Source organism: Homo sapiens, chromosome 14 (assembly GCF_000001405.40).
Source record: "Homo sapiens chromosome 14, GRCh38.p14 Primary Assembly".
NCBI classification, from domain to species: domain Eukaryota; kingdom Metazoa; phylum Chordata; class Mammalia; order Primates; family Hominidae; genus Homo; species Homo sapiens.
In genome coordinates, this window is record NC_000014.9 from 77,274,168 (window position 1) to 77,286,260 (window position 12,093).

General features: G+C 51.0%; 1 protein-coding gene across 12 annotated transcripts in view; it reads right to left on the minus strand.

Moving 5' to 3' along the window:
* Positions 789–12,093, minus strand: part of POMT2 (protein O-mannosyltransferase 2) — a 45,928-nt gene continuing 34,623 nt past the window's right edge. For 7 of the 12 annotated variants that reach the window (XM_047431314.1, XM_011536677.4, XM_047431316.1 and 4 more), the window contains 10 exons: positions 11,314–11,465; positions 10,783–10,874; positions 9,630–9,706; positions 6,225–6,296; positions 5,854–5,913; positions 5,517–5,761; positions 5,370–5,419; positions 4,562–4,702; positions 4,227–4,341; positions 789–3,314 (listed from right to left, as the gene is read on the minus strand). In XM_047431314.1, the coding sequence (XP_047287270.1) occupies positions 3,209–3,314; positions 4,227–4,341; positions 4,562–4,702; positions 5,370–5,419; positions 5,517–5,761; positions 5,854–5,913; positions 6,225–6,296; positions 9,630–9,706; positions 10,783–10,874; positions 11,314–11,465 (1,110 nt within the window). In that variant the 3' untranslated portion in view covers positions 789–3,208. Of the gene's footprint in view, positions 3,315–4,226; positions 4,342–4,561; positions 4,703–5,369; positions 5,420–5,516; positions 5,762–5,853; positions 5,914–6,224; positions 6,297–9,629; positions 9,707–10,782; positions 10,875–11,313; positions 11,466–12,093 lie in introns of those variants that run through there. The other 5 variants (XM_047431318.1, NM_013382.7, XM_047431313.1 and 2 more) reach the window with 2 other exon arrangements.

Here is a 12,093-nt window from a genome sequence, read left to right on the forward strand (position 1 = left end):
CTACTATTTACTTGTTGTGGGACCTTAAGACAAGTCATTTAATCTCTCATGGGTAGAATGGGAACAAAAACATCATTGACTTCACTGGGCCTTTATGAGGATTAAATGTCAGAGATGTGTTGAGACTTTGTAAACTAAGCTGTGCCACTCAAGGAAGAGTGACTTGGCCCCTTCCTAAACTGCCTGTCGTAGGCATGTTCCACCTCCTGAAGATCCACATGCCCCTCTCTCCCCACCAGCCCCTACCAGAGGGTGGCTAGGCAGCCCAGAAGCCCCCCAGTTCCACAGCACAGTGCTACTCCCCTCCCCCATCCTCTGTCCAACACTCAGGTCAGCTCCTGCTGCCTTCAGCTCCTAAGCATCACTCCTGATAACAGGAGACACCTGTCAAGATGGGGACCTCTGTTAGGCAGAATGGCAAGTTGCTACAGCACTGGGATACTCGGCTGTCTGGGAAGGGGACAACTTCTTCTTGCACTCCTTTCTATGCCATGTGAACAGGTTAAAAGAGGACAAATCAGAGGTCCAGCTTCCTACTTATTTTGGAATCAGTTTAAATATACCAAAATGACGACCAACATTACTCAAGTAACTGTACACATGGGGAGATCCAAATGCCTCCTGGAGTAATCAGGCTCACCTGCCCAGCCCAGGTCTTCTGCTGGAATTAGATCAGCCTCAGACATGACACACGGGGTGGTTCCTGCACTCAAAACATTCTTCTCAGGGAGGCCTTTCTGGGAGCAGAGGGCAAGTCGGATTCAATTAAGTACAAGGACAACAAGGCATTCAAAACAAGTGTTATTTATTATAAAATCAGTGGCTTCTGATTAGAAGACTTTTTTTTTTTAAACCAAATAGGCTCAAGAAGCTGGCTGGAGGTTGAATTGGCTGACGAACATCTTCTTCCTCCACCAGCAGTTTGTGGGACACATCACGTTTCTGCCAAGTGCTACAGCTGAAGCCCATATTCATAGAAGCACCCTGACAGCCCTTCTCCAGCAACTTCCAGAAAACAGAACCTGAGCACTCAAAGCTGCATCAGCCCATGTGGCCTTGCTCCCAGAGAAGCATCTGCCAGTTTGGGCATGGAGGAACAGAAAGTGGGCAGGGAATTCTCCTTGGCTCCTTAGAAGGCAGTGGGAGCCCAGGGAAGCGTTCGGCCCCAGTGCAGCCTAATTGGGAGGGAGGGATGGGTAGAGGCTGGCTGGGCTTCTCCTTCCTCACCCTCATGCAAGGTGGCTGCCCCTCTGGCTCCTTCAGAGCTCTTCCCTTCCAAGTTCCTACTGAGAAATAAGAAGGCACAAAGGAAAATCAGCCACCTCCTGGAGGTCACTGTGGGCCACCTGCTTTGCTAAGAGCCAAGCACAGACCCCTGCATTCTCCCTGCAGGAGAGCCCACCCGGCTCAGAAGAAAGCAATTCCGCCTGTGGGGAGGAGAGGAAGGGAGGGGAGGGGAGGACACACGGTGAGGTGGAAGCAGCGAGCAGAGCTTCTCCATCCCTCCTCTCCTTCCCTGCCAGAAATGCAATTAAGCAAGTGGCCCAGACTCAGCCGCACAGACAGCGCTTCCTGCTGGGGGAAGTCAAAAGGGCTGTAGCAGTGGGAAAGGGAGGTCATCGGGCCCCAGATCTAATTAACCAACCTGCCTTGCTTTTGACGTTGCTGCATTTCCTCTATTAACATTAATGATGGTTGGTCTGAATGCCCAAGCATGGCCAGAAGCTTCCCTCCCCACCACCCAGTAGGTAGCACAGCCTGTCCCTGGGACCAATATCCAGTCTCCGTGGCAACCGCCTCCTGAAGATGCTTTAAAGAGATCTGACCCTGTCAGAGTTGTTGGGAGCTTCAGAGGAGGGAAAATGGAGTGTGGCGGATTCATCATTAAATATTGAAGCATCAAAGTCCTCTGAGACAAAAGAAATATTTTGTCATGCACCAGGAAGGTGGAGGCAGGCTTAAGGGCTGGCCTTGGGTGGTTTGGTTCTACCACAGGGTTTTCTTCATCCCTTTTGGGGAGGAAGTGGAAGGGGCAGCTCTGAGCTTCTTGTTTGAGCTGCAGAGTGGTAGACGCAGGAAGCTGGCATGCATTTCTAGGTGCCATGGGTCTTCACTGCTGAAGCAGTGACAGAGAGAAAGGGAATTGCCCACGGAGTGAGGGAGGGGTGAGCAGAGGAGGACTGCAGAAGTGACACTGGGAAAGCTCAGCAGGTGACAGGAACATTAGTCTGGAGAGGCCAGAGTCCCCACATCCCAGCACCACGCAGATTCCCTGCCCTGTCTCTCATCTACCTTGGGCGCTAAGCAAGGTTCCCATGGGCTCTCCCAGCAGCCAGGAGAATGCATCTGCCTTGCCCTCCAGGCCAGGCTAGATGCACTTGGAGAGACCTGGCCTCTGGCACACAGGGCCTGGGAACACTGAGCAGCCCAGGATAGGACATCGTTCCTCCCGAGTGTCACAGTGTGACAATCCCAAAAAACGAGGAACCAAGGGCTAAGGCAGGCTGACGCTCCGGAGTCCGCTGCTCTCTGTGCGTCACAGGCAGGAAGTCCAGCTACCTGCAGCCACTGGGGGGCATGGTGGGAGCCAGGCCCTCCAGCTCGGGGCGGCGCGCCTTCCTCCACGCTGGATTCATTTGTTTGTGGGAGGGAGGGCAGCACAACTTTGACAGTCCCATCTGCTCTGCCTTTGGTGACATCCCAAGGTGAGGTCAGTATTCTCTGCCCTCAAGGCCCTCTCAGAGGTCTGAGAATTTTTGATGGATCTTACAAACCAAAACCAAAGAAATCCAACAGAAAAAAATACCAGAAAATATTACTATAGCCTGGACTATTTTAGAGTTTATGACACTCAGCTGTCCAGTTACACGGTCTGTATTCCACAGGGATATGGACAACATGCCCTCACATACACACACGCGCACCCACTCCCACCCTCTGGCACCCATCCTCCCCTGCGCTGTGCACGAGGGAGCAGCCCAAGAGGCGCTGTCCTCTCCGTGGTGCTGTGGACGGAGCTGCGGCTCTCTCCCGGCTCTCTCCAATGCTGGGTTCCATTCCAGCTGCACTCCCAGAGCTGGGTCCTGGTGAGCAGCAGAATTCTTCGGGCTCCTTAGGCAGCTTCCTCATGGCCGGATGGTCCAGTACTGCTTCCCAGCTGGCTCTCCTGGGAAGTTCCTGGACCCAGGCTGGAATCTTTGCAGTGGCCTCAAAAGTCCCATGAGTCCAGCCACCTTAGTCCTGCCATTGGACTTTGGGGGTCCTGGGCCAGGGGACCAACCATCCCGTAAGCCAGAGGGTGGAAGAGGTAGAAGCTGTGAGAGAGAACCAGTAGGAGGCAGTTGGCACCCCCAGTGCCTCAGCTGAGGGGCTTTGAATTCCATTCCTCCTGCTGGAGCTCCAGAGAAATTCCCCATCGCCAAGCCCGGTTCTCTTTCACGGCCTTGTCTGTCTGAGTCCCACTGGGGCACACTGTAGCTGGAGAGCTTAGTAGATGCTGACTCAATGACAATCATGGAAAGGGCTCTTCCCAAGAGGCCCAGGAGGGCAACCCTTCTAGGGGTCTTGTCATGGGCTATTTGGCCAGGGGTGTTTGTCAACATGTGAATGTAACCCTCTTAGGCAGGCATGTGCTCACAGGCCACAGGCCCAGCACCAAGGCCAGGGACTGGGGAAGCGGGGAGCCTTCCAAACAACTCTCCCTTTCAGCCACTCAGCCACACACTTCCCATTCCCACCCTTCCCACCCCACCCGTCGAGAGCTCTTCCGGCAGGGGGCCACAGTGACTAAAGAGGGGTGCCCTGTCCCCCATTGCCCCCCGGTTCCCCCCTCCCTCACCCGGAGAGCTGTTCTGACAGGGGGCCATGGTGACTAAAGAGGGGTTCCCTGCCCCCCATTCCCACACTCCCCCTCTGAGAGCTGTTCTGGCACAGAGTCACTGTCACTAGAGGGGTACCCTTCCAGGTGCGCTGGGATGGCACAAAAGCTGAACCACCGGCAGAAGGGGAAAAGGCAGAGTTAAGCCCTGCTTCTCCTACCTGGCTGCACATTAGGATCACCTGGGGGACTCTGGAAACCACGGCCCCACCTGGGCTTGGGTGACGCAGAACCTCCAGGCATGGGCACTGGTGGTGTTAAAAGCACCGCAGGGGATTCTCGAATGCATCAGGGCTGAGGCACTGCTGAGCCCACACTGGGAGGGCATGTGAGGTGCAGAGATGCTCACCTGTAGGCAGTTCCCAGGAGCAGGCTCAGGATTCCCGCCACATGTATGCCCCTCGCCAGGGGCCATGAGGCCAAGCCCCAGGCACAGAGCCGCAGGAGGGTGTCCCACAGAATGCCTAGAGGAGAGGAGAGAAACCTGGAGTCAGCCAGGCAGGGGGTGACTTCTGGGCTACAGAAGAAGGAGGCACTCCAAGTCAAGGAGCAGAGAGTCACTCCCAGCACTGCTGCCCCACAGTGGCCTCCCGTCAAGGAGCAGAGTCACTCCCAGCACTGCTGCCCAACAGTGGCCCGCCCTCCACCTGCTCTGTCTCCCAAGTCCAGGTGGGTGGCACTGACCTGTCAACATGCTTGAGAAGAGCATGGCTGGGAAGTAGTGGTGGAAGTAGAGGACCCGGCCCATCAGGAAAAACGGGAAGTAATGGAGTGTCCAGCCGAGCAGGACCTGGCCGCCTCCTCGAAGCAGGACCTGGGACAACCCTGGGCCCAAGCAGCACAGCCCAGTCAGAAGACAAGGAGCGGGCAGAGATTCCAGGCTCTGGTCCAGCTCTGCCCCTTCCTTGCTGTGTGACCTTGAATATGTCATATCACCTCATTGGACCAACCCAAACCACGCTACAGAAACTGGAGAGGAGCAGCTGGGGCTCGAGAGCTCTGGTCAGGGCCCAGCCTAGTGAGGCCTGGGCACCAATGGCAGGTGCACCAAGCACCAGCAGGAGGCAGCCCAGCCTCTAAAGAAACCCTTCTGCGCCTGCAGACAGCTTCACTCCCTACTTCCACCTCCCACATCTTTGCTGCCACACAGATCTTTGCAGCGGCAGACAGGCGCTAAGGTGAGGTTACAGGTGAGGATGGAGTGAGGAGGTGTCTGGGACTATGACTGTTCAGACAGAGAGCTGCAGAGGCAAAAGGGCCTGTGTGACTGTCTCAGGTGCTGTGGCCCATGGTCTGGCAGCCAAAGTTACCAAGAACAGCACTGGGATGGGAACTCAATAACCCTGGAGGCTCCTCTCTAGCCCATGAGAGGACAGGGCCATGGAACAAGGAGGTGGCAGAAAAGATGGGCAGCTCTGTACACAGCATGGGGCTAAAAGTGAGGGCTGTGGAGTCAGATTGCACGGGTTTGAGCCTCAGCTCTATCACTTACTAGCTGTATGTCCTGGGGCAAGTTTCTTAATCTCATGGTTCCTTGGTTTCCTAATCCATAAAATGGGGGTCATAATAGCCAACGCTCTAGTGTTGTTGGGAGGAAGTAAAGTGTTTAACACAGCACTGGGTACTTGGGGGTTGTTACCTTTCAAAAGCAAAGGATAAGGGAAGGTGTGGGGTGGTAAACGCAAAGGATGGCCCATCAGCAGGCAGCCGGCCCTCCCCAGGGGTGCAGGTGCCCTGCTGCCGCCAGGTCAGGGGAGGGAGAGCCCAGAGGACCTGACCTGCAACCTCCGCTGGCAGCCGTGCCCCTCTCTGCATGGCTACAGCAATGATGCTCCCTGAGAGGAGGTAGAGGGCGATGCTCAACAGATTCAGCCACCAAACCACCTGTGCAGAAATGGGAATGGGCAGATGAGAACGCAGCCGCTCTCCACGGGCAAGTGCTCCAGGGCCTGAGCCGGGAATGTTTAGGCACTCACCGGGTTGCCAAGCAGATAGACTCGGAAATCTGTGTCATTGACCCCTGAGAAGCGTAGGCCCTGTGGAATAGAGACCACCCTGCTGACCCAGGCCCAGCCCATCCTCGGCCACACCCATTAGGGGGAGGAAGATGGTCACCTTCCACAGACAGGGAGCCTGGACACGAACCTCAGGCTGGCAAATTCTACACGAGCTCTCTGGGAAGCAGGGTCAGAATTAGGGCAGAAAACAGATACTCCCACCTCTGGCCAACCCATCCCAGGAGGCCCCTCGCCCTGCCGCCCTAGTACACCCACCCCCGCCTCCACCGGTCTCCCTGCTCTTGTTCTTGGCTCCATTTCCTGGGAGGAGCCCCAGCCTTGGATCCTACCTGATAGTTGATAGGCCAGTGCCAGGGTTTGGACGTGAACTCATTGTCCTTGGGTTTGAGGCCACTGTTCCCCTGCATGAAGGTAGCAAAGAAAGCTAGTCAAGACAGAGATCTAGAGGGCTGACAGAAATGTGGGGCCCAGGTTTTTCTGATATAGGGCCAAGCGCCGAGCAGAACCTTCTCTCCTTCCCTTCCCTTGCAGGGAAGAATCAGGCAGCTGCTGTCTGCCTACCTACGACACTTGCTTTACTTCTCCCAGACAAGCCTCCATCTCCCATAAGGGGTCCATTCCAACCTTCTAGGGAAAAAGAAGGGAAAGAGGAAATTGTTCCAATGGGCACAAAATATATACCCATCTGCCAAGCTAAGGACAAGGTGTGAAAATGGTGGGAGAGAGGGGATATAAAATGAGGCTTACAGCCGGGTGCAGTGGCTCATGCCTGTAACCCCAGCACTTTGGGAGGCCGAGGCGGGTGGATCACCTGAGGTCAGGAGTTCAAGACCAGCCTGGCCAACATGGTAAAACCCCGTCTTTACTAAAAAATACAAAAAATTAGCTGAGCGTAGCGGTGGGTGCCTGTAATCCCAGCCACTTGGGAGGCTGAGGCAGGAGAACCACTTGAACCCAAGAGGCGGAGGTTGCAGTGAGCTGAGATCATGCCATTGCACTCCAACCTAGGCAAAAAGACCAAGACTCAGTCTCAAAATAAATAAATAAATAAATAAATAAATAAATAAATAAATAAATAATAAGGCTTACTTATTTGTTCCCTTCAGGGGCCAATTTCAAACAGAAAAGCAGAAACTCTCATGCGTGCCTAGACTTGGAAGAGGTTGCTTTAGCTTAGTGCTTCTCCACCTTTTTTTTCCACTACTGCCCCTCTACCAGGAGCCTTTGTAGACAAGTTTCTCCCTAAACACACTCCATGACATTTTAATACTTTATACTGTACATCTTACTTGTGCTTTATACATAAAAAATTAGATATTTTGCCCTCCAAGAACACATTTCATCTATTGGGAGAGAAATCAACCCTAATGCATGCTTTGGTTTGAAGGACCCAGACTCAGCCTCCCTAATCCAGCAGCCAAGAACATCTGCTAACCTTTCTCTACAGGGCAAACCAGGTCTTTGCTAAAACAGGAAGGAGTAGGGTCAGGATCCAGGATATTAACCACTAGGACTGGGTTCTGCCTTATCACTGGGACAGACTGAAAAGGCATTTCCCCAGAAGGGGAGTCAGCTGCCATGACTTAGGCCGGAGCTTCTCCACCTCAGCACTCCCAACATTTCGGGCTGGATGAGTCTTTGCTGTGAGGACTGTCCCGTGCATTGCAGAGTGTTTAGCATTCCTGGCCTCCACTCACTGAATGCCCGTAGCACTCCTACCCTCAACCCCTCAGTTTCCCAGCCAAAAATTTCTCCACAGATGGCCAAAAGTCCCGAGAGGCAAAATCACCCTCAATTAAGAACCACTGGTATAGCCTAAGAAAGACCCAGAAAGTTCAGTGGACTGCCACCCAGTGCCTTATGAATCCAGTTCAGCAAGGGGCTGGGAATAGTTTACAGGCCTCTACATGGTGGAGAGGTTGTGCCTCCAAGGTCAAAAGTGCATCCAGGGCATCAGACACAAAGGGGACAGCTGCACGGCCCCAGCGTCACTGCGGCCCTTTGAAGGACCTGGGAATGAGGAATGAATCATTCTGGACCCCTGCGGCAGTTGCTGAGGGAAACCAATTCCTTCAAATTGTACAGTTTGGTCCCAAACCCAAGGACTCCAGCCAGAACTGTACCAAGCCAAGGGAATCTTATTCACTACATTAAACTCTGAGAAATCCTGCTCTGTTGCTAAACTAAAAGAGGAAAGAAAAATCTGCAACCATCACAGGCATATGTACTTGTAAGTTGTTCTCTATGGCTGAAATCTGGATGGGCTCATTCCTGTAACTGCACCAGGCAAGGCAGCCTTCTCCTCCAGGTCCCGGGCCACTACTCAGCCAGCGGAAGAGCCCTGCCCCTGCAGTTTCTATAGTCTGGACTCACTGTTTTCATCTCTCTCCCCTCCCTGACTCTTTGTTGGCTGAATAAGAAAGCTCTCATTACTTCCCTTTTCTTCTCTGACTCTACTTCTTAGATAATGAAAGACAAAATGAAACTCGTAGATTTAGTCTTAAAATTTGACCCAGGCCCAGAATGATATTCTGACTGACAGGCACATGTTCAAAAGAGCTATGTCATCAGGCCACAGTGACAGCTACAAGCAGAGAGTCAGAAAGGAAGTGACCCAGAGATGCTTAATGTCAACTTATCACCTCCCAATGCGCAAAAATGACAAAATTTGAATTTTTAAAATTTAATCTGGTGAAATAAGTCAACTATATGTACTGAGTACTGCTTACATAATCACTTCCAGGGAAGTCCACTTGACAATGGCTTACCAGGGGAAAAATAACAAGTGCTACACCTCCCTGCAATGCTGTGGGTAGAGTGATAATCACATATCTGGCTTGAGATAGTGATTCTTAAACATTATTCCTGCAGAACACAGGTTTTCCATAAGCCAGAATAAGGGGGTCTTCCACTAAACAGCAGGACTACAGCAGGGGAAAATTTAAGCTAGTGAGTAGAATTTTCTCAATTTAAAGATTTCTTCTCTGAATTTTTCTTAAACCTTTGATGCTACAACTGCTGTCAGCTACTAATGATAGAGAGTGCAAACAATGTCTTAGAAAACCTTAAAAAGAATCAATCATGCCCTGCCTAAGCAGTTTCTGTCCAGGAATATGAGTGGGCTCGTGGCTGGGATTTCATGCTGCATATAAACAACACACTCAAATTAGCTATCCATCCTAACTGATCCTGATTTCATATGATGGAATGAACTATCAGTATCTCATGATCTTCAACCAAGAGCACTATGATTTTCAGGGGCTCTGCCACTTGGGCAGATTCACAAATCACTTAGAGGTGAAGGAGTGTAGTGGTAACTAGCAGTAACTCTAAAAGCCTACCAGCCTGGCTCTGAGGGCTGGATCTACCTCTTACACTTAGCTGTGTGACCCTGGGCAAGTTCCCTGACCTCTTTGTATGTCAGTTCCCTCTCCTGTAACTGGGAATGATGGCAACCTCCATATGATTGTAATAAGTATCAGATGAGTATAGTGCTTAGCGTAGTGCCTGGCACATGAGCTGTACAAGCAGTCACTGGTATCACCATCATCACCACCATCCTCATTCTGTGGTGAGGGAAATGCCTTTGAGGATCACAGAAAACCGTAGTAAAGATGCTTTCAAATTCCTCCACAAGGGGGAATGGATCTGTAGCATGGCATTGACTTGTGATCCAAATTCATGGCTGCCCAAAAGCTCTTAGAGACGCCATGAAATGAGAAGGGGACACATACCCGGATCATGACCATGTGGGATTCCAGCAAGATCTCAGGAAAACTGGGCTGTAGCACATCCAGGCTGATGTTTGGCACTAGGGGAAAAAAATGCAGGAGAAAAGCCTTTGTCATACATTCTTTCCTCAGTCTGTCCATGGTGTCCACATTCCCACCAGAATCCAAATGCAGCCTTGCTGACAAGTTCACAACTGTTGAGGAGACAGAAGAAAGCTTGGCCCAATTCTTGATCATTTACTTAGCTGTATGAAGAACTCATCAGGCATTCTAAGAAATGCAAAGGAAATAGACAACAAGGTTTCACCTGCTTGGTGCTCCAACAGCTCCCAGCACCATTGCTTTTCACTGTGGTACTGGCTCAAATGCTGCTCTCCTATTAGGCATAAGGGACAGCTGCACAGCCCCCGAGTCACTGTGGCCCTTTGAAGGGCCTGGGAATGAGGAATAAATCATTCTGGACGCCTGGAGCAGCTGCTGTCGGGATGGGGACCAAGTCTGTCTCCTCGCCAATATGTCCACAGGGCCCCATGTGGTTCCTGGCATACTTGATAAAGAGTTGTTGAATTAGTTGATTAGTGGGTTTGGCTAGATTAGGTGGGAAGAAGAACAAAATGAAGGCACACATAAGCTTGAGGTGGGTAGTTTAGGAAAACAGATGATGAATCCAAATACTTATTGAGTTGAAGCTGACAACGCAGTGGAAATATCAAATTGGAGCTTGGGTGTAGAGATGTGGGGCACAGATCAGGGCTGTGGCAGTCACTTTCTATAAAAGCATTGGCTGGATATGTGGGGGGGCGGGGGAGCGACTCTACACTGAGGCATAAAGGGAAAGTAGCAGCTTGCTCCAAGCCTGGAGGCTGGGGAGGTGCCCATGGTGCAGGGGAGAGAGGAGCCCAGAGGAAGACGAGACAGATGGATCTGCAGATGGCCACTGGCCACTTTAGGGAGAGGAGTTTACGGAGGGAGTGGATGAGAAGGAAAAGGAGTATGCTATGTAGGTACAGACAACTCATAGAAAGAGAGTGTTAACAAGGAACAAACAGCAGCAAGTTGAAGGGATAGCACAGTTTACAAACGCTTACTTTTCTAAGATAAGGGTTTCTTATAAATGCTTCCCTCCAGAGCCAGCCCAGAAAGTGACCTCACTCACACTTGGGATTGATATGGTCCTCCACATTCCAGATGGAGTTGAGGGTTTCTTTCAGGTATGGGGTGCAAGTAACTTCCAACTGCTCCCAGCCCCTGTGAAAAGCAGAAGTCACAGATGTCTCTCAGAAGACGTGAAATCCACCAGAGAGTGACACTGTCTTCTGCTCTTAAATCCACAGGCTCCTTCTCTTTTCCACATGGTGGCCATTATTTCTTCATGTTCCATGTTGGACAACTATCCTAGGATAGTCTAGCATACAGTATTCCCATTTTAGAAAAAGACATAGACCCAGAGAGTTATTAGCACCAGCCAGATGTGAAAATGTTGAACTATCAGAACACATAAAACACCGAAGCTCCCCCGGAGTTCTGTGCTCCATAATACACCTGATATCTACTCTCCCTCCATCTGCCACTAAGAACAAGCAGACAGCAGGTGAACACAGGAAAACAAAAGCTTCTGGCATACTCCTTGTAGAGTGAAAGGAAAATCAGGACCCTCGATTGGGACAGCAAAACCCTAGAGACTTACCACTTGGGCAGAACCTTTCCCGAGGAGCCCAGGACACAACCTGTGACCAAATGGATGAAGCGAATTCGACTTCTCAGCACTTTGATCCGGTTTCCAAATTTCCTGTTTACGACCTCAATCCGCCAGAAATCATTTGAGTCCCCTGTTCCATTCTGCCATAAAAGCCAAGAAAAAAATACAAAGAAAGTGAGGGGACTTTAGAGAAAACGTGTCAGAAAGGGAAATGGCCACCCAGATGCCACCATGTTATGAAGGTCAAAGACCAAATTAGGCTCAATGATAGAGATGGGCAAGGTTACAAGAAGGCCAAAGAAATATCCCAGGTGATTGGCATTGTCCCAAAACTCACTATTACAACCAAAAAACAGTAGTATGACTCCTGGAACCAGAAGTCCAGGAGTCCAACTCTTCACTTCATAGAACTAGAGTTCAAGTTCTAAATACCTGTCTTTGCCCTTCAACCAAACTCAAGACATCACTCTGAGCCAACAGAAACAGATCTGGGCCATTTGCATCCATTACCTTGGCTATCTAGGTATTCACTCATCTAAGCCAGAAAGGTCTGGCCTGGCTATTGCACTTTGGAAATTAAGACATGTATGTCTAATTCTTCTCAGAAGATGCCCACAAAGAAGATTAGAATGTTCACAGTCTTGACCTAGCACAATGTGGAATGAGCAAACAGAAAGAGGGCTGGGAAATCCACCTGAAGGCCAGAATCTGTATACAGTTTTCCACTAGTAGTTTTTGTCTTCAGTTACTCCCAAAGCCATAAGTACT